Below are 22,094 nucleotides of genomic sequence, written 5' to 3'. Positions count from 1 at the left end.
AGGCTTCTGCCACCACGCCCAGCTAATTTTTGTACTTTTAGTAGAGACGGGGTTTCACCATGTTGACCAGGCTGGTCTCAAACTCCTAACCTCAAGTGATCTATCCGCCTCAGCCTCCCAAAGTGCTGAGATTACAGACATGAGCCACTGCGCCTGGCCTACTTAACAAATATCTATCAAACAGCCACAATGTGCCAGGAATTAATTATACCAACTATATGTATTCTTTGTATCCACATAGGTTGAACAAAATACACATATTCTTACCCTCAAGTACAAGGCAGTCTAGTGGAGAGGGCAAATTCAAACAAGTAAATTACAAACCAGAATAAGTGCAATGAAGGAAAAAATGAGAAGAGGGAGGGTCTACTTTGGGTTGAGTGCAGGAAAAGCCTCTCTGTGAACTAAAATGTGAGAAGAAACCAGCTTTTGCTCTTTTTTAATAGGAACCCATGAAATATGCCGGTTTATGGAGGAATGATGACTTCTTTGTAATACTGATTTTTCCCATCTAAGAGTGGGCCAGCTTTCCCATTAATTCAGATTTATTTCATGCTAACAGGAGTCCTGTTTTCTGGCTTTTGTGTGTCATGTTTTAATTTTTGTTTTTAGTAGTGTACTATTTCACTCACGTAAAAGAAAAGAAATAGGATGAGCAATCAGGGACTCCCACCACTAATGGGCACCCTTGCAGGGCCCTCCTAGATAGCCAAGACCTTTCCTCCTGCCTCTATCCCATGGGGGAAGTCACACCCTGAAGATTTATGATTTTTTTGTCTTCATTTATAATTTTATACATTTCTATGAATAGCAGAATAATATATTGTTCACTTTTGCTTTTTGTTTTTTAAGACTTTTTTAAAGGGTAGTTTTAGGTTCATGGCAAAATTGAGAGGAAGGTACACAGACATCTGATATACCACTGCCCCACACATGCATAGCTTCCTCCCCCATTATCAACATCCCCCGCCAGAGTGGTACATTTGTTACAGTTAGCTAATTGACACTGGCACGTGGTTATCACCCAAAGTTCCTTGTAATACATTAGGGCGCACTCTTGGTGTTGTACACTCTCTGCGTTTGGACAAACGTGCAATGACACGTATCCGCCATTACAGTATCCTACATCTTATAGTTTCACTACCCTAAAAAAAATCCCCTGGGCTCCTCCTATCATCCTCCCTCCACCCTAGGCTCTGGCAACCACTGATCTTTCTTTTTTTTTTAATATTATTTATTCCTACATTGGAACAGGAGTCACCATCAACACTTCCTTTCTTTCTCCTTCCTTCCTTTCTCTCTCTCTCTTTCTCTCTCTTTCCTTCTTTCCTTTTCTTTCTTTCTTTCCTTCCTTCCTTCCTTCCTTCATTTCTTTCTTTCTTGACAGAGTCTTGCTGTGTTTCCCAGGCTGGAGTGCAGTGATGCAATCTTGGCTCACTGCAACCTTCACCTTCTGGGTTCAAGAGATTCTCCTGCCTCAGCCTCCTGAGTAGCTGGGACTACAGGCACGCACCACCATGGCCAGCTAATTTTTTAAATTTTTAGTAGACATGGGATTTCACTATGTTGGCCAGGCTGGTCTCAAACTCCTAACCTCAAGTAGCCTGCCCACCTCAGGTTCACAAAGTGCTGGGATTTCAAGCGTGAGCCACTGTGCCTGGCAACCACTGATCTTCTGTCTCTATAGGATTGCCTTTTCTAGAATGTCGTATAGTTGGAATCACACAGTATGTAGCCTTTTGAGATTGGCTCTTTTCACTGGTAATATATATTGAAGTTTCCTCCCTGTCTTTTCATGGCTTGATGGATCATTATTTTTTAGCGCTGAACAATATTCCATTGTCTGGATGTACTACAGTTTATCCATTTACATACTGAAGGACATCTTGGTTGCTTCCAAGGTTAGATAATTATAAACAAAGCCGCTGTGAGCATCTATACATAGGTTTTTCACATAAGTTTTCATCTCCTTTGGATAAATACTAAGGAGCATGATGGTTGGATCATATGGTAAGAGTATGTTTCGTTTTGTAAATAACCACCAAACTGTCTTCCAAAGTGGCCATACCATTCCCACCAGTAACGAACGAGATTTCCCATTACTCCACGTCTTCGCCAGCATTTGGTGTTGTCAGTGTTCTGGATTTCAGTCGTGCTAGGTACATAGTGATATCTCATTGTTGTTTTAATTTGCATTTTCCTGCTGTGGAGCAACTTTTTATATGCTTATTTGCCATCTGTATATTTTCTTTGGCAAGGTGTCTGTTAAAGTCTTGGCCCATTTTTTAATTGGGTTGTTTGTTTTCTTATTGTTGAGTTTTAAGAGTTCTTTGCAAATTTTGGCTAGCAGTCCATTATTGGATATGTCTTTTGCAAATATTTTCTCACAGTCTGTGACTTGTCTTTTTATTCTCTTGACAGTGTCTTTTGCAGAGCAGAAAGTTTTAATTTTAATAAAGTCCAGCTCATCAATTATTTCTTTCATGGATTGTAACTTTGGTGTCATATCTAAAAAGTCACTGCCAGGCCGGGCACAGTGGTTCATGCCTGTAATCCCAGCATTTAGGAGGACGGGAGAATCACTTGAATCCAAGAGTTTGAGACCAGCCTGGGCAACATAGTGAGACCCTGTCTCTAAAAAGTAAAAATAAATTAGCTGGGCTTGGTGGCACAGGCCTGTGATCCCAGTTATTTGGGAAGCTGAGGTAGGAGGATCACTTTAGCCCAGGAGTTCAACACTGCAGTGAGCTATGATCACACTACACACAACTGCACTCCAGCCTGGGTGACAGAGAACCTATTGAAAAAAAAATCATTTTCAAACCTATAGTAATCTAGATTTTCTCCTATGCTATCTTCTAGTTTATAGTTTTGTGTTTTATATTTAGGTCTGTGATCCATTTTCAGTTAATTTTTGTGAAGAATATATTAAGGTCTGTGTTTAGATTCATTTTTGCATGTAGATTTCCATTATTCCAGCAATATTTGTTTAAAAGACTGTCTTTTTTCCATTGTATTGCCTTTGCTCTTTTGTCAAAGGTCAGTTGACTGTATTTATGTGGGTTTGTTTCTAGGCTATCTATTCTGTTTCACTGATCTATTTATCTATTTTCTTACCAATACCACTGTCTTAACTACTGTAGGGTGTTTTTTTTTGTTTTTTGGTTTTTTTTTTTTGAGACAGAGTCTCACTCTATCCCCCAGGCTAGAGTGCAGTGCAGTGGCACGATCTTGGCTTACTGCAACCTCCATCTCCCGGGTTCAAGCGATTCTCATGCCTCAGCTACCCAAGTAGCTGGAATTACAGGTGTGTGCCACCGCACCCGGCTAATTTTTGTATTTTTAGTAGAGACAGGGTTTCACCATGTTGACAAGCTGGTCTCCAACTCATGACTTCAGGTAATCTGCACATCTTGGCCTCCTAAAATGCTGGGATTACAGGTGTGAGCCACCGAGCCCGGCCACTACTGTAGCTTTATAGTAAGTCTTGAGGTCAGGTAATGTCAGTCTTCCAGCTTTACTCTTCTCCTTCGATGTTGTGTTGTCTATTCTCGGTCCTTTACCTCTCCACATAAGCTTTAGAATCAGTTTGTAAATATCTACAAAATAACTTGCCTGGAATTTGATTGGGATTGCATTGAATATATAGTTTAAGTTGTGAAGAACTGACATCTTGATGTTATTGAGTCTCCTTATTCATAATCATGGAATATCTTTCCATTTATTTAGTTCCTTGATTTCTTTCATCATATTTTTTTTAGTTTTCTTCATATAGATCTTGTTCATATTGTGTTAGATTTATACCTGGGTCGTTTACTTTTGGTGGTGGTAATATAAATGGTGTCATGGTTTTCTGTGTTTTTACTTTTTTTTTTTTTTTTTTGAGACAGGTTCTTGCTCTGTCACCCAGGCTGCAGTGCAGTGGTGCCATCACAGCTCACTGCAACATTGACTCCTGGGCTCAAGTGATCCTCCTGCCTCAGCCTCCCAAAGTACTGGGATTATAGGCATAAGCCACCATGCCCAGCAAGTATCATGTTTTAAATTTTAAGTTCTACTTGTTCATTGCTAGTATATAGGAAAGTGATTGACTTTTAGATATTAACCTTGTATCCTGCAACCTTGCTGTAATTGCTGATTAGTTCCAGGATTTTGTTGTTGTTGTTGTTATTGTTGATTCTTTTAATTGTTTTACATAGACAATCAAGTCATCTGCAAACAAAGAGATATTTATTTCTTCCTTTCCAACCAGTAAACCTTTTATTTACTTTTCTAGTCTTATTGCATTATGTAGAATTTCTAGTATGATGTTGAAAAGGAGTGGTGAGAGGGGGCACTCTTGCCTTGTTCCTGATTTTAGTGGGAAACTTTCCATTTTTTCACCATGAAGTATGATGTCATGTAGGTGTTTTGTAGATATTCTTTTCAAGTCGAGAAAGTTCTCCTCTATTCCTAGTTTACTGAGAGTTGCTTTTTTATTTATCATGAATAGACATTGGATTTTGCCATATGCTTTTTCTGTGTCTATACAATCATGCGATTTTTCTTCTTTAGCCTGTTGATGTGATGGATTAAATTAATTTTTAAATGTTGAATCAGCCTTGCAGACCTGGAATACATCCCACTTGGTTGTGGTATATAATTCTTTTTTATACATTTCTGGATTTGACTTGCTAATATTTTGTTGAGGATTTTTGCATTTATGTTGATGAGAGATATTGGTTTGTAGTTTTATTGTAATGTCTTTATCCTGCCTTGGTATTAAGGTGATGCTGGTCTCATAGAATGAGTTAGGAAGTATTCCCTCTGCTTCTTCCTTCTGAAAGAAATTGTAAAGAATTGGTTTAATTTCTTCCTTAAATATTTTGTAGAATTCACCACTGAATCCATCTGGGCCCAGTGCTTTCTGTTTTGGAAGCTTATTAATTATTGATTCCATTTCTTTAATAGATATAGGCCTAGTTACATTGCCTATTTCTTCTTGTGTGAGTTTGGGCAGATTCAAGGAATTTGTCTATTTCATTTAGATAATCAAATTTATGGACATAGAATTTATCATATTATTGCCTTATTATCCATTTGATGTCCATGGAATTTGTAGCTATGTCCCCTCTTTTGTTTCTGATATTAGTAAATTGTGTCTTCTCTCTTTTTTCTTGGTTAGCCTGGCTAGTGGCTTATTGATTTTATTAATCTTTTCTAAGAACCAGCTTTTGGAGTCATTGATTTTCTCCACTGACTTTCTGATTTTTGCTCTAATTATTATTATATTTCTTTTCTCCTGCTTGCTTCATATTTAATTTTCTTTTCTTTTTCTAGCATCCTGAGGTAGAAGCTTAAAGTATTTATTTTAGATCTTTTTTCTTCTTCTTCTTTTTGTTTATTTTTTTTTTGAGATGGAGTCTTGCTCTGTTGCCCAGGCTGAAGTGCAATGGTGTGATCTCAGCTCACTGCAACCTCCGCCTCCCAGGTTCAAGTGATTCTCCTGCCTCAGCCTCCCGAGTAGCTGGGATTACAGGTGCCCACCACCACGCCTGGCTAATTTTTGTATTTTTAGTAGAGATGAGGGTTCACTATGTTGGCCAGGCTGGTCTCGAACTCCTGACCTCAGGCAACCTACCTGCCTTGGCCCCCCAAAGTGCTGGGATTATAAGCGTGAGCCACCGCGCCTGGCCAGTCTTTCTTCTTTTCTAATATGTTCCTTCAATGCTAGAAATTTTCCTCCAAGAACTGCTTTTGCTGCATCCCACAAATTTCAGCAAATTGTATTTTCATTTTTATTTAATTAAAAATATTTTAATTTTTGTTGAGATGACTTTTTTGACCCCTCTGTTATTTAGTAGTGTTATATTTAATCTCCATGTCTTTTAGGATTTTCCAGTTATCTCTCTTATTGATTTCTAGTTTAAGTCCATTGTGACCTGAGAGCAGACATTGTTTGATTTCTATTTTTTTTAAAAAAAATTGTTAAAGTGTGTTTTATGGCCCTGAATATGACCTATCTTGGTGAATGTTCCATATGATCTTGAGATGAATGTGATTTTGAGATGAATGTGCTGTTGTCAGATGAAGCAGTCTATAGATGTTCATCATACCTAGTTGATTGATGGTGTTGTTGAGTTCAATTATGTCCTTACTGATTTTCTGCCTACTGGATCTGTGCATTTCTGATAGAGGGGTGAAGTCTGGAACTATACTAGTGGATTCATCTATTTTCAATGATTCCTGTAGTTCTATCAGTTTTTGCCTCATGTATTTTAATGTTCTATTGTTAGACATACACACATTAAGGAATGGTATGTCTTCTTGGAGAATTGACCCCTTTATCATTACTAATGCCCTTCTCTGTCCCTGACAACTTTCCTTGCTTTGAAGTCTGCTCTGTCTGAAATTAATGGAGCTACCTCTGCTTTCTTTTGATGAGTGTTACCATGTTATATCTTCCTCGATCCATTTACTTTTAATCTCTATGTGTCTTTATGGGCTTTCTGTAGATAACACATAGTTGGGTCTTTTATGTTTGTTTGTTTTTGAGACAGGGTCTCACTCTGTTATCCAGGCTAGAGTGCAGTGATGTGATCATGGCTCAATGCAGTCTTGAACTCCCGGGCTCAGGTGACCCTCCATCTCAGCCACTAAGCTAAGCTACCTTTTTGTATTTTTCATAGAAATAGAGTCTCGCCATGTTGCCTAGGCTGGTCTTGAACTCCTGGACTCAAGCTATCCTCCCTCCTTGGACTCTCAAAGTGGGGTTATGTTTTTTGATCCACTCTGACAATCTTTGTCTTTTAATTGCATCAGTTACACCATTGACATTTGAAGTGATTATTGATATAGCCAGATTAATATCTACCGTATTTGTTACTGGTTTTTATTTGTTGTTCTTGTACATTATTTTATTTTTGCCTTCCACTCTTTGTCTGCCTTTTGTGGTTTAACTGAGCATCTTCTATCATTCCATTTTTTTCTCCATTCTTAGCATATGAATTCTACCTAATTTTCTTTTACTTTTTTATAGTGATTGCCCTAGAGTTTGCAGCATACATTTACAACAGATACAAGCCTACTTTCAAATAATACTATACCATTATATTTAATATATGTATAAAATATAACATGTTATATAGAAGAGGAAAGTGTAGTGATATATTAAGTCACTATACATTGATATAGTGTTGTTTGAAAGTGGGCCTGGATTTGTTGTAAATATATACTGCAAACTCTAGGGCAATCATTATAAAAAGTAAAAGAAAAATAAGTAGAATAATAACACTATTGCCATTTCCACTGGTTGTGTGATTACCTTAAAATAACAAAATAGGCCAGGCACAGTGGCTCACACTTATAATGCCAATACTTTCAGAGGCTGTGGCATGAGGCTCACTTGAGGCCAAGAGTTTGAGACCAGCCTGGACAACACAGTGAGACCCTGTCTCTATGGAAAAAAAAATTAGCTGGGCATGGTGATATGCACCTGTAGTCCTAGCTACTCAGAAGGCTGAGGCAAGAGCATAGCTTGAGTCCAGGAGTTTGAGGCTGCAGTGAGCTATAATTACAACATTGCACTCCAGCCTGAGCAACAGAGCAAGACCCTGACCCTAAAAAAAAAAAAAAAACTTAAAAAAAATCCTAATTCCACCTTTCCACTCCTTATATCATTGTCATTCATTTTACTTACATATAAATATACATAAACACTCATATAACATAAGATATAAACATAAGCATACATAACCAAATACATTGTTGCTATTATTTTGAACAAACTGTTATCTGTTGGATAATTTAAGAATAAGAAAAATAAAAGTTTTTATTTTACCTTCACATATTCTTTCTTTGATGTTCTTCTTTTCTTTATGTGGCTCTGAATTCTGACCTGTATTATTTTCCTTATCTCTGTAAAACTTCTTTTAACATTTCTTGTAAGGCAGATCTACTAGCAACAAATTCCCTCAATTTTTGTCTGCCTGAGAAAGTCTTTATTTCTCCTTTACTTTTGAAAGTTAATGTCAAGGTTACAGAATTCTGGGTTGGTGGGACTTTTTCTTTCAACACTTAATATGTCACTTCACTTTCTTCTTGCTTGCATAGTTGCTGAGGAGGTAGAATGTAATTCTTACCTTTGCTCTTTCTGCATGTAAAATGTTTTCCCCTCTGTCTTCTTTCAGGTTTTTTCTTTATCTTTAATTTTCTGTAGTTGGAAAATTATGTACCTAGGTTTAGAGTTTTGTTTTGTTTGGGCGTTTATCCTGCATTGTGTTCTCTCAGCTTCCTGAATCTGTGGTAACCATTTTGTATGTTAGACCTTTTGTAGTTTTCCCACAGTTTTTGAATAGTCTAAGATTTTCTTTGCTTTCTGTTGTTATTGTTGTCTTTTTGTTTGTTTTGGTCTGTTCTCTTTGCTTTTCAGTCCTGGAGGTTTCTTTTTTTTTTTTCTCTCTTTCTTTTCTTTTTTTTTTTTTTTTTTTTTTGAGGTGTAGTCTCGCTCTGTCGCCAGGCTAGAGTGCAGTGGTGCGATCTCAGTTCACTGCAACCTCCACCTTTCTGGTTCAAGCGATTCTCCTGCCTCAGCCTCCTGAGTAGCTGGGACTACAAGCACGTGCCACCACACCCAGCTAATATTTTTGTATTTTTAGTAGAGACGGGGTTTCACCATGTTGCCAGGATGGTCTCGATCTCTTGACCTTGTGATCCGCCCACCTCGGCCTCAAAGTGCTGGGATTACAGGCGTGAGCCACCGCGCCTGGCCGGAGATTTCTACTGATACATTCTCAAGCTCGGAAATTCTTTCTTCCGCCATGTCCGGTTTACTAATAAGCCCATCAAAAGCATTCTTCATTTGCTATAGTGTTTTAGATCTCTAACATTGCTTTTTTATTATTTCTTAGGCTTCTCATCTCTCTGCTTACACTGTCCATCTGTTTTTGCATACTGTCTACTTTTGCATTAGAACCATTGGCATATTCATCATAATTATTTTAAATTCTCTGCCTGATAGTTCCAATATCTGTATTATGTCTGGTTCTGACTTACTCTGTCTCTTCAAACTGTGTTTTTATCTTTTAGCATGCTTTGGAATTTTTTCATGATAGCGAGATACAATGTCCCCAGCACTGGTTCCCATGGAGGTTTTTGCTGTAGTATGTTGTGATTGTCTGTATCCACCTGTCTGTCTCTCCAGTTCTGGGGACAGCAGTGTGCCCTGAGCTCTCATTTCTGCTACAGATCTAAGAGTTCTTGATTTTCTAGTTTCTTTAGCTTTTTGCTTGTTTGGATGGAGTGGAAAGTTCAAGTGTTCTACATTCAACACTGGAAAACAATTCTTTTTGGCTTATTTCTTCAACTTTGTATAAATTGAATCACATTGTTTGCTTTTTTTTTTTTTTTTGAAATTTGCTTTCTTCACTCAACATCAGGGTTGAGATTCATACATGTGAATGGATGTGGCTGTGGTTACTTTATTTTCACAATAGCATTATATTACACTTTGTGACTACACCACAATTTATGCATCCATTCTTCCATTCTTGGCAAGTTGGGTTGAATGTGACTCCTAGTGCACATATGCAAGGGTTTTACTGGGTTTAGGGTATGTGCATCTTCCACCTTAAAAATAATGCCACGGCTGGGCGCGGTGGCTCACACCTGTAATCCCAGCAATTTGGAAGGCCTAGGCGGATGGATCACCTGAGGTCAGGAGTTCAAGACCAGCCTGGCCAACATGGCAAAACCCCATCTCAACTAAAAATACAAAAATTAGCTGGGCGTGGTGGCACGCGCTTGTAATCCCAGCTCCTCAGGAGGCTGAGGCATGAGAATCGCTTGAACCCGGGAGGTGGAGGATGCAGTGAGCCAAGATCACACCACTGTACTTTGGCCTGGGGAATAGAGCGAGACTCTGTCTCAAAAAAAACAAACAAACAAACAAAAAAAGCCAAACGGTTTTCCCAAAACAACAATTTATATTCCCATTAGCAGCATGTAAAAGTCCCCCTGGCTCTCTATCTTTGCCAACACTTGGTATTGCCAGATACTTTAAAAATATTCACCTGGGACAATGTGGTTATTAAATAGTAAGTAGCTCCTTGTCTTAAACTACCTTTTCTCAATGTACTGAGGTTGACCATTTTTTCAAATGTTTATTGGTCATTGTATGGTCTTTCCCAGAAGACCATACAATGTTGTCCTTTAAAAGATTGAATTGTCTGTCTTTTCTTTATTGATTTGTAGACTTCAGATATTCCAGATACTAATCCTTTGTTAAGTAGATGAAGCAGATCTCTTCTCTCTGTTTGTGACATATCTTTTAGTTTCTTTATAGTATTATATATTTTGATAGAAAAAGTTTATAATTTTAATGTAATCAAATTTATCACTCTATTCATTTATGGCTTCCTCTTTTGCCTTGTTTAGGAAATCTTTCTGTATATGCTGAGGTCATATGAATATTCTTCTATAATACAATTTTTTCTGTAATATGATTTTTAAACCATTTTAATGCCGTGGACCCTTTGTCATGTTGGTAAAGGTAAAAAATGAAACTCATAGAATTACAAAGAAAACCAATTATGCTGAAATATAGTTATTAAAATATTTAAAGTGATGATATATAACACATGTGCTCCTTCTTAATGCATTAAATATCAAGATTTAGCAGAATATCTAATAACTGCTGTAAATTTCCAAGTACTGAGTGCATAAATAATATTATGAGATACCTGCAATAACTATAATACGACATAAACCTATCTGTATTTTTATTAGTGGCAAAGTCACAGATACTGCAAGGCTACTATGGTCTGTTGTCCATGATCATAATTGAATCTTTAATTTTTCAGTTTGGGATTTGTGAAAATAAACATTAATTTTTTTCCTATCCATGATCATGAATGTACTGAATTATGCTCAACAAACCAGTGGATGTCTGTGGAACCCAGGTTAAAATCCTTTATATAATATATTCTAAATTTTTAAACTGTTCATCTTTCTCTTTTTTTATTTTATCAATAAGAATTTGTTTCTTTATAGTGTATATATTTATTTTTCCCCCTCTTTTTGACTAATTTATCCTTTCCCCTTTGGATCTGCAATATTAGTGCTGGCTTACATCACACTTCTATATGTGTTTCTGGGCTCTTTATTCCATTCTGATTTAGATTTTGATCTATGTAAATACCACATTGTCTTAATTACTATTGACTGTGAAGTAAGTCTGACATCTAATAGACAAGACTCCCTACTTTCTTTGTTGGCTCTTCTTCGTCCTTTGCTTTTTTATGCTAATTTTTTAAAAAGCTTGTCAAATTCCATGAAGAAAAGCCTATTTGAATGTTGATTGAACTGAACTGAATTTATAAACCATTTATTTATACCTTTTGATGAAATTTTATGTATTTTTTTCCATGAAAGACTTGTACCTCTTTCCCCCCACCACCACCCCGAGATGGAATCTTGCTCTGTCACCCAGGCTGGAGTGCAGTGGTGTGATCTTGGCTCACTGCAACCTTCACCTCCCCAGTTTAAGCAATTCTCCTGCCTCAGCCTCCTGAGTAGCTGGGATTACAGGTGTGTGCCACCACGCCTGGCTAATTTTTTTTTTTTTTTTTTTTTTTTTTTGGTATTTTTAGTAGAGACGGGGTTTCACTGTGTTGGCCAGGCTGGTCTTGAACTCCTAACCTCGTGATCCACCTGCCTTGGCCTCCCAAAGTGCTGGGATTACAGGCATGAGCCACCGTGCCCAGCCACACATCTTTTGACAGATCTACTCCTAGGTTTGTTCTCTCTCTGTCTCGCTCTTTCTCTCTGCCTCTCTCTTTCTCTCTGCCCACTTTTCCCCTACTTATTTGCTGCTGTTGCAACTGGAAACTGTTTTTTAAATTATATTTCTTATCTCTTTGTTGCTGGTGTATAGAAAATCAACTGCTTTTGAATATTGATCTTTTATCCCTTAAACTTACTAAACTCACTTATTAATGCTAATAATTTAGCTGTAGATTCCTTGAGTTTTTTTATGAAAATAATCTTTTTTTATTTTTAAATTATTATTATACTTTAAGTTTTAGGGTACATGTGCACAACGTGCAGGTTTGTTACATATGTATACATGTGCTATGTTGGTGTGCTTCACTCGTCATTTAGCACCTTCAGTGAATATCTGTTTTTCTTCTTTGATTCCAAGTGTTATATCTTTTGTTTCTTTTTCTTGGTTTATTGTTCTGGCTAGTACCCTCAGTACAGTATTGAATAGAAGTGGGGATTAAAAAAAAACTGTTAACCTTTAAGTATGATGTTTGTTACGGATGTTTGGTAGAAATTCTGCATTAGGTTGAAGAAATTTCTATTTCTAGTTCACTAATTTTTTAAAAAATCGTGAGTGGATGTTATTAGGTCTTTTTTTTGATTTTGTTCTTGAAGGCGATAAACAGGAAAGCATGTGTATATGCCAATGGAAAAGACCCACTAAGAAAAGGGAAATTGAGGATGCAAAAGAGAGGAAATAACCCAAACACAGAAAGTCATCGAGAAGGCTGAGGGTGGATTTGTATACATTTCTTTAATGATATAAAGCACTTAACATAATGCCTGGTCTATTAGTTTCCTATTGCTGTAACCAATTACCACAAACATAGTGTCTTAAATCAACACAAATTTATTATCTTACAGTTCTGGAGGTGAGAAGTCTAAAATTAGTTTCACTTGGCTAAAGTCAAGGTATAGGCAGTACTGCATTTCTCCCGGAGGTGCCACAGGAGAATATGCTTCTTACCTCTTCCAGCTTAGAGGCTGCCAACAATCCTTGGCTTGTGGCCCCGTCCTCCATCTTCAAAGCCAGTTGCACAGCATCTTCAAATCTGCTTCCATTATCACATTGACTTTTCCTTATATAAGAACCTTTGTCAATGATTAAGCCCATCAGATAATCCAGGATAGTCTCTCCATCTCAAAATCCTTAATTTGCCAAGAGCAGTAGTGCATCCCAGTAGTCCTAGCTACTCAGGAGGCTGAGGCAGGAGGATTGCTTGAGTCCAGGAGTTTGAGACTGTAGTGTGCTGTGATAATGTCTATGAACAGCCACTGCATTCCAGCCGAGGCAACATAGCAAGACCCTATCACTAAAATAAGAAAAAAAGAATCCTTAATTCAATCACATCTGCAAAATCCTTTTTGCCATATAGGGTAATATTCACAGGTTCCAGGGATTAGGATGTGGACATCTTTGGGGTTCATTATTCAGCCTCCCATACTCAGCATACATTGGATTAAACCATATACATTGGGTTTGTAGGTCAAAAAAGGTTCAATATTGGCGATTCCATGTGATTCCACCTAAGGGTTCTCAATATATAGGAGTTACTATTAATACCAATAACAAAAGAGGAGATAATTTTACCATAAACTGCCAGCTCTGGGCCTGTCCCTGTTGTCTGAGGAACAGTGTTTTGGGCAATTTCACCTGACTGTCTGTGTTTGCTGAGCCCTGGGTTTTTAGTACTTCCTGTACCTTAGTACTTCCTGTGTCACTGCCCTGGAAGCATAGGTAGGTTCCTCCCCAAGACCATTTGCCTCTCTACTATCCTGGAAGAAGCCTACTAAAGAACTGCAGAAAGAGACACTCCCTTCTGCCCAGCTACAGGGCTCTGTACTCCATAGCATCAACACTGCTGAGGAAAAAGCAGCTCCCAAAACTGTCCGTGTTGCAAATGTGTTTGGTGCGGTAAAAAGTCTGTGGCACTGACGCACTGTGCCATATTAAAGCCTGAAGCCAAAGGAAAAATAAAAATCAGTGATATTGAGCTTCTCTTTATTTCAAATCTGATTTTTTTTTTTACCATGGTTATTTTACATTTATTTTGACTTTTAAAAAATATTGCATTAAACTATTATTTATCCTGGCTACTAAGTTTTTTGGCATTCCCTTAAATTTTGCACCCAAGATTTCATTCTCCTCACCCTAATTCCCAACCTGGTCTGTGAGTTGGTATTTGCAGCTATTCTGTCTGATTGATGATCGTTTTGGAGGGACACTCCCGGCAAAAGTTCAAACTTTATCTGTAGAGGAAAACAAGGTGGTTAGGATTTACCGAAGTAATGAGAAGGAAAGTCACCCTCAACCTCTAAAATACCCCTTTTCCGAGTGACTCTCTTGGCTGCCAATTGCCTTCTCCAAGTGAAAAAGAATAAACTAATTTCATACCTATTCTGTCCAATAAAGCTCATTGTCCTACCTCCACCTCCAGTGGTAACAGACAGGAACAGTTCATTTTCCATTGCTAAGCAACGGCAAAAACAGCGCCCGGCATCTGTGCCCGGCCTCACCGGCTGATAGGGATCACTGTCTAAAGTTCTTGTTTGCATTTTGAAGTCAACAATAATTGCGGTTCTCTATTAGTGTTCATTAAGATGGTTTATGGCTGGACTAACTCCAATCTCCACTCAGCGGTTTGAATGCGTTGTCCTCCCAGGGAAAGAAATATTTGGCAATAAAAACCCTGCGTTTATTTCCTCCCCTCATTTCCCCTTGCTGGGCTGGGAAACGATGGTCACCATCCGCAGTTCCCTGGCCGGGGAGAACAAGGCGCCTGTTGAAGGTTGTGGAAGAGAGGGGTGGAGAGGAAGCCTCTGCCCTCCTGGAGCTGGCTTCCTTCCACTCCATGCTGAAAGTAGGCCAGTGGAGCAGAAGTCTGCTGGGGGAAGTGAGCTCTTGCTGTTCACTGGGGCGGAGAGCACTACCCTATTTTCCCAACGCCAGCCCTCAAGTGTGGAAAGAACCTTCCCAGCCTCTTTCCACGGACTCAGTGCCAGGGAGAAGCACTGCCCTGGGACGTGATCGGCTCCTGCCTCCCTGGCCCGGGACTGGGTCAAACAGTGGCCTCAGTGTGATGGCAGAAAGTTCCAGGCAGCTTGAAAGGGCCGCCCTTGGATGCAATTCCCAGGTGTTGACTCACCCGCGGCGGCTGAAAGGCTGCCAGCCCCGGCCAGCAGCAGGCCGGCACCTTTACGCAACCTCTCCTCATCCCCAGCTCTGAAAATACATCCAGAAAGCAGCCTAAAGCAAGTCATAAGGATGTCGTTCTCCCTTTTAGACCCCATTCCAAGACACCCTTCCACGCTCGGCGCTTTTCAGAGCAAGCGTGGCCTGGCCGTCATGGTCCTCTCCTCGCTGGAGAGAATTTTAGGGCCATCCTGGAAAACAAGCCCGCTGGCGCCCCCTAGTGTGCCCGGGAGCCAACGCCATTCCAATTTGTGTTTCGGGGAGGCCGGGCTAGGTGAGTGGGGTTGGAGAAACGAATCCAAGGGATCAGGGCAGGAAAGTTTAATTCCATGAGGTCTGGGGCAGGTAACAGAAAATCACACTTACAGTCCTGACTCCGTTTATGACTTAAGAAATTGCTGTTCTTAACTTCTCTCTCGTGCTTTCCTCTGACTCAAATCTCTCCTGCCTGGTTGCTGGAGAGCAATAGGATCTTGGTGTCTCTATTACTGAGGGAAACTGAAGACCAAGTAGTCGAAATACCTTAACCTTATTAAGAAGTTATAGAATGACCCTGTCTTGGGGTTGGTATGTGCAGAAGCTTAATCATCGGAAATCAAGAAACTGTAAGTCCAAGATCATTTGCTTTGCTACTGTTGCTAAAACGTCTTCACCCTTCTGTTGAGTACAGAGACACCCTACGGCAATGATTCCCAAGCAACTGGAAGGTTAAGAAGATCTTAACAGCAAATTCCTTGTATCCTGGTAATTCTGTAGTTCTTTCTCTTTCCTTCTTCATTTTCTCTGAATAGCAAGGAAGACAGAGTTCAGGTAAATGTGGGGGAAAAAATCTTTTGTCAGGATAAGCCAGGGCAGGATGGGTGCTGGAGTATGATGGGGGTATCGAGAGCCATGGAAATCTTTAAAAGAATTGGCCACCACCTGCCTAGGATAACTAGGAGGTTTGCCTACATAAAAGCTTGGGCGCTTGACCAAATGGTCACTTGAAGAATCTTCCCAAGTGGCTGGGTGCGGTGGCTCATGGCTGTAATCCTAGCACTTTGGGAGGCCAAGGCGGGCAGATCACCTGAGGTCAGAAGTTCAAGACCAGCCTGACCAATGTGGAGAAACCCCATATCTACTAAAAATACAAAAATTAGCTGGGTGTGGTGGCACACACCTGTAATCCCAGCTACTCAGGAGGCTGAGGCAGGAGAATCGCTTGAACCCAGGAGGCAGAGGTTGCAGTGAGCCGAGATCATGCCACTGTACTCCAGGTTGGGTGACAGCATGAGACTCCGTCTCAAAAAAAAAAAAAAAAAAAAAGGAATCTTCCCAAGTTGATTATCTTGATTAAACAGTCAAGAATAGGGATGGCAAATAAGTTTCACATTCCATACCAACCTTAGTCAACTGAAGAGCCCAAAGCATAGTATTGAGAGTGTTCCTGAAAGTTCAATTTGAGGCAAAGCATCTTGATTGATTTGTAATGTCTGCCATGAGCACACAACAGATGGGTGGTGGCATACATACAGCTAGGCAGGAAGATAAAAGAGGGTATTACATGCCAGAAAGCCACACCATTGTGCCTTTTTCTTTCTTTTTTTGTTGCTTGTTTGTTTGAGAAAAGTTCTTACTCTGTGAGGCTGGAGTGCAGTAGTGTGATCATAGCTTACTGTGGCCTCGAACTCCTGGGCTTAATTGATCCTCCTGCCTGAGCCTACAGATAGCTGGAACTACAGGTGTGTGCCACCATACTGAGCAAATTTTTTACGTTTTGTAGAGACAAGGTCTCACTATGTTGCCCAGGCTGGTATCAAACTCCTGCGCTCAAGTGATCCTCCTGCCTGAGCCTCCTAAAGTGCTGGGATTACAGGTGAGAACCACTGCACTCAGCCCCCATTGTGCCTTTTGATGCTACTGTTTGATAATTCTTGTATTTGAGGACTGTACTGACAGTGTGGCTTTTCCAACTTCCTGTATTAGGGTTGAGGGAACTTACTTTTCCCATCTTCCCCCTTTTTTTTTTTTAATTATACTTTAAGTTCTAGGGTACATGTGCACAACGTGCAGGTTTGTTACATATGTATACATGTGCCATGTTGGTGTGCTGCACCCATTAACTCGTCATTTACATTGGGTATATCTCCTAACGCCATCCCTCCCCTTCCGCCCACCCCACAACAGGCCCCAGTGTGTGATGTTCCCCTTCCTGTGTCCAAGTGTTCTCATTGTTCAATTACCACTTATGAGTGAGAACATGTGGTGTTTTGTTTTTTGTCCTTGCGATAGTTTGCTGAGAATGATGGTTTCCAGCTTCATCCATGTCCCTACAAAGGACATGAACTTTTTTATGGCTGCATAGTATTCCATGGTGTATATGTGCCACATTTTCTTAAACCAGTCTATCATTGATGGATATTTGGGTTGGTTCCAAGTCTTTGCTATTGTGAATAGTGCTGCAATAACCAACAAACCATCTTCCCCTTTCCTAGTTTATAGAGCCTCTTGGCTGACCTGACAGCTGATATGGGATAGCAACAGGTAGAGGTGAGAATGCACCTGATTCTCACCTTTCCTGAGATTATATGGAGTGATGGCTCAATCCCCAAGTACAAATTGAATGTTGACGGTATGGCCAAGAGGCTGGTAAGTGCTACAGCCATTCAGAGAAAAAAGGAGGGTACAAAAAGTTTCTAATACACCTCTCCTTAGTTACTCACTCGACGAGAAGCAGTTGGAGAACAGCAGCACAACACAATCCCTCCAGAAACAGAAGCAGGAGAGGTGGGCGGAAGTGAAGCCATCCTTTCCCTCTGACCCTGCAGACCCTCGCGCAGCCACGGATCAGAAGCAGGAGGCTGCTGAGGGCCTGGCTCAGCTCTGAAGCTGTGCAGCATGTCCAAGGGGCTCTCCTGGCATGCCACAGAGCACCGAGGAGTCCTCATGGGTCCCTTCCAAAGTATATTTTGAACCATTCTGATTCTCTTCACTGCCACTATCCCCATTCCAGTCACAGTCACAGTCACCTCTCCAGGACAATGCACTGGCCTCCTAACATCCCTCCCTGCTTCTTACCTCCACCTTCCACCCATCACTCCACCCTCTCGTCTGGAGCCCACTCTCCAAATAGCAGGCAGCAGCGTGGCCTTCCTGAACACAAGTGACTCCAGCATCACACACATCACCCTCCCCTGGTTTCCCCTTTTTCTCCTAAATCCTGCATGATGGAGCCACAGCTTCCCTCTCTGGCCCATCCTGCCCCATCCCCTGTCTCCTGAGCGCTCACCCTTTGGCCACAGTGGCCTTTATGCGGCCCCTCAAAGTGAATACTCCTTCTTCCCAGGACCCTTACGCAGACCCTTCATTCCTAAATCTCTTGCCCTCCCTCTCTGTTCCCTCTTTAGTTTGCTGACACCATCTATTTCTCCATCTCTCAGCTTGAGTGTCACCTCAGGAAACTCAGGCTAGTTTCGGTCCCTTTTGTTATAGGTGCACATAGTGCCTTATACTCACCTTAGGGGCACCTATTACAATTGTAGCCAATTATTTGTAAAATATTTGCATAACATCCATTCCCTGCTAGATGAAAGGGCTTGTGAGAGGACATCTGGGACTTTCTTATTTCTTGCAGTGTCTCAAGGGCTTAGTGTGGCCCCTAACACAGTTTCTGGTGTGTATTGGAAGGTTAGTATTCATTGAATAAATTACGAAATGAAGGGAGAGAGGGATGGATGATGGATAAACGGATGGGTGAATGGGACTTTCCGAGATTGGAGTTGGCTGCTGCCTTGCCAGTCATAGCGGAAGAGAGAATGCCTGTTGAGTTGGTGTCATCAGGCAAGGTGGGGGCAGGCAGGGGAGGGGGTTGACCATGGATACAGCAAGGGCAGTTGAAGGTCACAGTGTCATTTCCCGGGAATCTGAGGTTTGCCTTTCCAAGACTTCCAGGGACACATGTCTAGAATCCCATTTCCAAAAATATTTCAAAAAGAAAAATCCACATGAGAACTTAATAGATCAGAGGGAAGGAAGTCAAACTTTGAGCATACATTCATGTTGCTGGGAAAGCCATTTAAAAATAGTTCACATTTCTGTGCTTTTGTGGCTGCTTTTGAGCCATTCTAGCCTGCCGCAGCAACCTAATTGCCAAACAATATGTTGCTTTGCTGTGGGACCATCTGAAATTTAAGAAAGCAGACAAGTCTAGCAGTTTCACAAGCCTATTTTTTTAAATAAGGCAGACTCCAAAGCCTACTACCCACTAATTGGTCATGTAAATTACTACCTTCTGTATCAGTTGCAACACAAGGGAAAAAGGAACGTAATATTGTTTTCACTCCCTAGGACCTATTCAGGCGTCTTAGGCCTGTGCTGCCAATATTTTTGGTGGGAGGGTTAGGGATCAGGGCTTGAATTACTCAGCATTGGGGAAAAGCCCCGTGGGGTCTTCCAAAGACTAACCTTGAGGACAGGTTCAAGGATTCATCCATGGTTTCCCAGACTCCCTGCCGAGGTCTGGATCTCTTCTCTGGGTAAGGGAATGCACTCTGCATTGGTTTCTCATTTGATCACACCAGGAGATATGGGTTCCATTATGCTATCAAGGTCCATTCAAAGGTTGGCTGATGGACGTGAAGAACAGAGAACGGGGACATGATATCTGCAGCCACTGCCTGCAGGACTCATGCGGACATGGAGAATCCTATTCTAGGTTACTGAGAAGGACAGTGTGGCTGAGAGAGGTGCCCTACTCCATGTCCCCACAGCAGCCTGCAGCTCCCACCCTGCACGGTGCTCAACAGTCCCAGACGGGCAGCTCTGTCAACAAAGGGACCATATCTTCCTCATTAGAGCTGTGCCCCCATGCCTAGCACAGTGTCCAGCTTCTAGACAACAATGAATAGGTGTTTGCTGATGAAGGAAAAATACATGAAGCTTCATGGATGTAGATATGAGCTGAATGCCAATCAGAACTTTCTAATCGTTAGACCTACCCGGCGATGGAGTGGGGCTGTCTTGAAAAGTACCACTTCAGGTAATCAGTATAAATCTGAGTGCCACTGGGACAGCCCTAAAACATTTGACAGCAGGAGACAGCATCACATCAGTGCTGGGTCCTTGGACTCTGGGGTCACACACACCTGGTGTGAGTCCTGGATCTGCTGCTTACGATTTCAAGGCATTTTGCCACAAAGTCTGCATCTGTAAAATGGGAGGTTGAGTCCCTCTAGAGAAAAGCCTGAGAAGGATGTGAGTGCAGGCAGTTTATTCGGGAGGTGATCCAGGGAGCAGGAGGGAAGCGGTGGTGAGAGTGAAACAGACAAGGAGGAGAGGCCCACAGAGCAGGGGCTATGAAGCCCTGCCAGCCAAGTGAGCCTGTCCTGTCGGGGGGCCTTGGAGAAATTGCGAGGAACGTGCCTGGGAATTGTCCATCTGAAGGGTGAAAGGCTTGACATTCTCTCCCACTGCCCATCCCCATCCTTTGATGCAAACTCCTTGCTCCTCCAGGCTGCACCTACTTTGGGGATGAAGCCCCTTCCTCCGTCCTGAAATTCAAGGGCACTGGAGATGGGGAGGTGTCCATCCTGGCAACAGCTGAGGTCAGAGGAAGGTGGAGGGGATGTGGCTTGGGCACATCTGCCTTGAAGATTTCCATTGTTATAGGATGGAATGAGAGCTCCACGAGGGAGGGACTGGTCAAGACCATATAAATATATTTGAATTAATACATAAGGATGGAATAAAATAATATTCTAAAATGCTTAATAATATACTGAAAATAAAATATCAAATGTTATTGTTATAATTATTAATTTCTCTTTATTAATAGACAGTGATGCTTTTCAAGAGGAATGGGAGTTGTTTGGGATAAATTTATAATATTTAGGCTTGTGTCTTTGCTTGGAAGATGCATTGTTTTGGAGAAGGTCAAAGTAGTTCTGGCCTTGAGCTACAGAATGAAAACTCGAGTTAGGCCAGACGTCTGGGTACATTGGAGCTTCTCTTTTGGCTTTTAGTGAAGCCACTGCCTTTAATACTCTCCGACATGTGGCTTGATAATTTTCTGAGTTGACCTGACAGTTTTAAAGCAGGAACAATGGGAATGTGTCAGAGAGAATTACCTGACAACCCCAGATGTCCTAAAATGGTGGTGGAACTGGGGACTTATGGAAAAAAAGTGCAAAAAGTTGTGAAGATGCCCCCGTGCCATCAAACTCAAACCCTACCCCAAGATGCAAAAAGTGGCAGAAATGTTTTTTATCCTGTAAATCCGCTCCTTGAACCATCTGAGCCAGCTTCAGCTACGTTCACCATCACATAGCTCCTGAATGAAGGTAGAGTCCCAGAACAGAAAGAAATGCAGAGGTGAGTGACAAGCGGTAAGGACTTCTTGTTTTCTTGCTAGACAAGGCCCAATGTGTAGAGCTGCTTTTTGAAAATCTTTGGTCTTGACCTGGATACGTGACTAAAATAAATCTCTTCCCCACCTTGCCTTAGAGAAGAAGGCACGCAATGTCCCCTGGGGAAGCCTGTGTACCCAGGATATGATGAAAAGAGAAAACAAAAAGCAATGGCTTAGAAGGAATGGATGGGACTGCCCATAAACACCTTGGTGTGGCTTCCTTAGCTTTAGAATTTCCAGATGATACAGATTCCTTCCCTCAGGGAGGGTGGCTTGGATATGAGCCCATTCTAGCAGTCACTTTTTGGTTTCTGAAATTGCCCAGCAAGTGTTTGCACACTACATGTGTCAACACCCTACTGTGTGGCCTCCCTGAAGACGACAGATTCCAATTTTCAGGCATTTGATTTCAGGCCTGGAGAGATGGGTGCCAGAAGCCAGCCGTCTATTTTCCTGTGACGTAGGGTGTACAGTCCTACCCACTGACCAAAACAAACACACCTGGCTCACAGTGGCAAGACGCAGCAAAAGAAGGCGTTTTAAAAATACATTCGCATGAGCTGCCTTGTCAATACTAACACATTCAGGAAGCTGAAGGTGGCTCCCGAGACGGCTATGTCAAGTCTAGCATTCAAATATTTAGTGGCCGAGTAATTACTGTAATAATTAATTTCCGTTGCTTAATCTAGCAATCAGGCATGTCACTTTACACATGGG

At 41.1% G+C, this 22,094-nt stretch overlaps 1 long non-coding RNA gene across 4 annotated transcripts in view, besides 3 other annotated features; it reads right to left on the bottom strand.

The window, feature by feature from the left end:
• Positions 1 to 21,366, bottom strand: part of LOC105370615 (uncharacterized) — a 41,084-nt gene extending 19,718 nt beyond the window's left edge. Inside the window, exons 1-3 of one of the 4 annotated variants that reach the window (XR_944126.3) lie at positions 14,226 to 21,366; positions 13,951 to 14,049; positions 12,535 to 13,112 (exon numbers count right to left, since the gene is read on the bottom strand). This is a non-coding gene — a long non-coding RNA (uncharacterized LOC105370615). Of the gene's footprint in view, positions 1 to 12,534; positions 13,113 to 13,950 lie in introns of those variants that run through there. The other 3 variants (XR_944127.3, XR_944128.3, XR_007064298.1) reach the window with 3 other exon arrangements.
• Positions 14,224 to 14,780: an enhancer, noted in NCBI's record as "H3K27ac-H3K4me1 hESC enhancer chr14:89507294-89507850 (GRCh37/hg19 assembly coordinates)". NCBI's record gives its function as "activates a minimal SCP1, AML or CMV promoter by ChIP-STARR-seq in naive H9 embryonic stem cells {active_cell/tissue: H9 hESC(naive)}" and the evidence as "EXISTENCE:reporter gene assay evidence [ECO:0000049][PMID:30033119]".
• Positions 14,832 to 14,951: an enhancer, noted in NCBI's record as "active region_8845". NCBI's record gives its function as "activates an Ori minimal core promoter by ATAC-STARR-seq in GM12878 lymphoblastoid cells {active_cell/tissue: GM12878}" and the evidence as "EXISTENCE:reporter gene assay evidence [ECO:0000049][PMID:35858748]".
• Positions 15,252 to 15,311: a silencer, noted in NCBI's record as "silent region_5997". NCBI's record gives its function as "represses an Ori minimal core promoter by ATAC-STARR-seq in GM12878 lymphoblastoid cells {active_cell/tissue: GM12878}" and the evidence as "EXISTENCE:reporter gene assay evidence [ECO:0000049][PMID:35858748]".
• Positions 21,367 to 22,094: the final 728 nt, after the last annotated feature.

Source organism: Homo sapiens, chromosome 14 (genome assembly GCF_000001405.40).
Source record: "Homo sapiens chromosome 14, GRCh38.p14 Primary Assembly".
In the NCBI taxonomy this organism is placed as follows: domain Eukaryota; kingdom Metazoa; phylum Chordata; class Mammalia; order Primates; family Hominidae; genus Homo; species Homo sapiens.
This window is presented reverse-complemented; position numbering and strand designations above follow the sequence as displayed.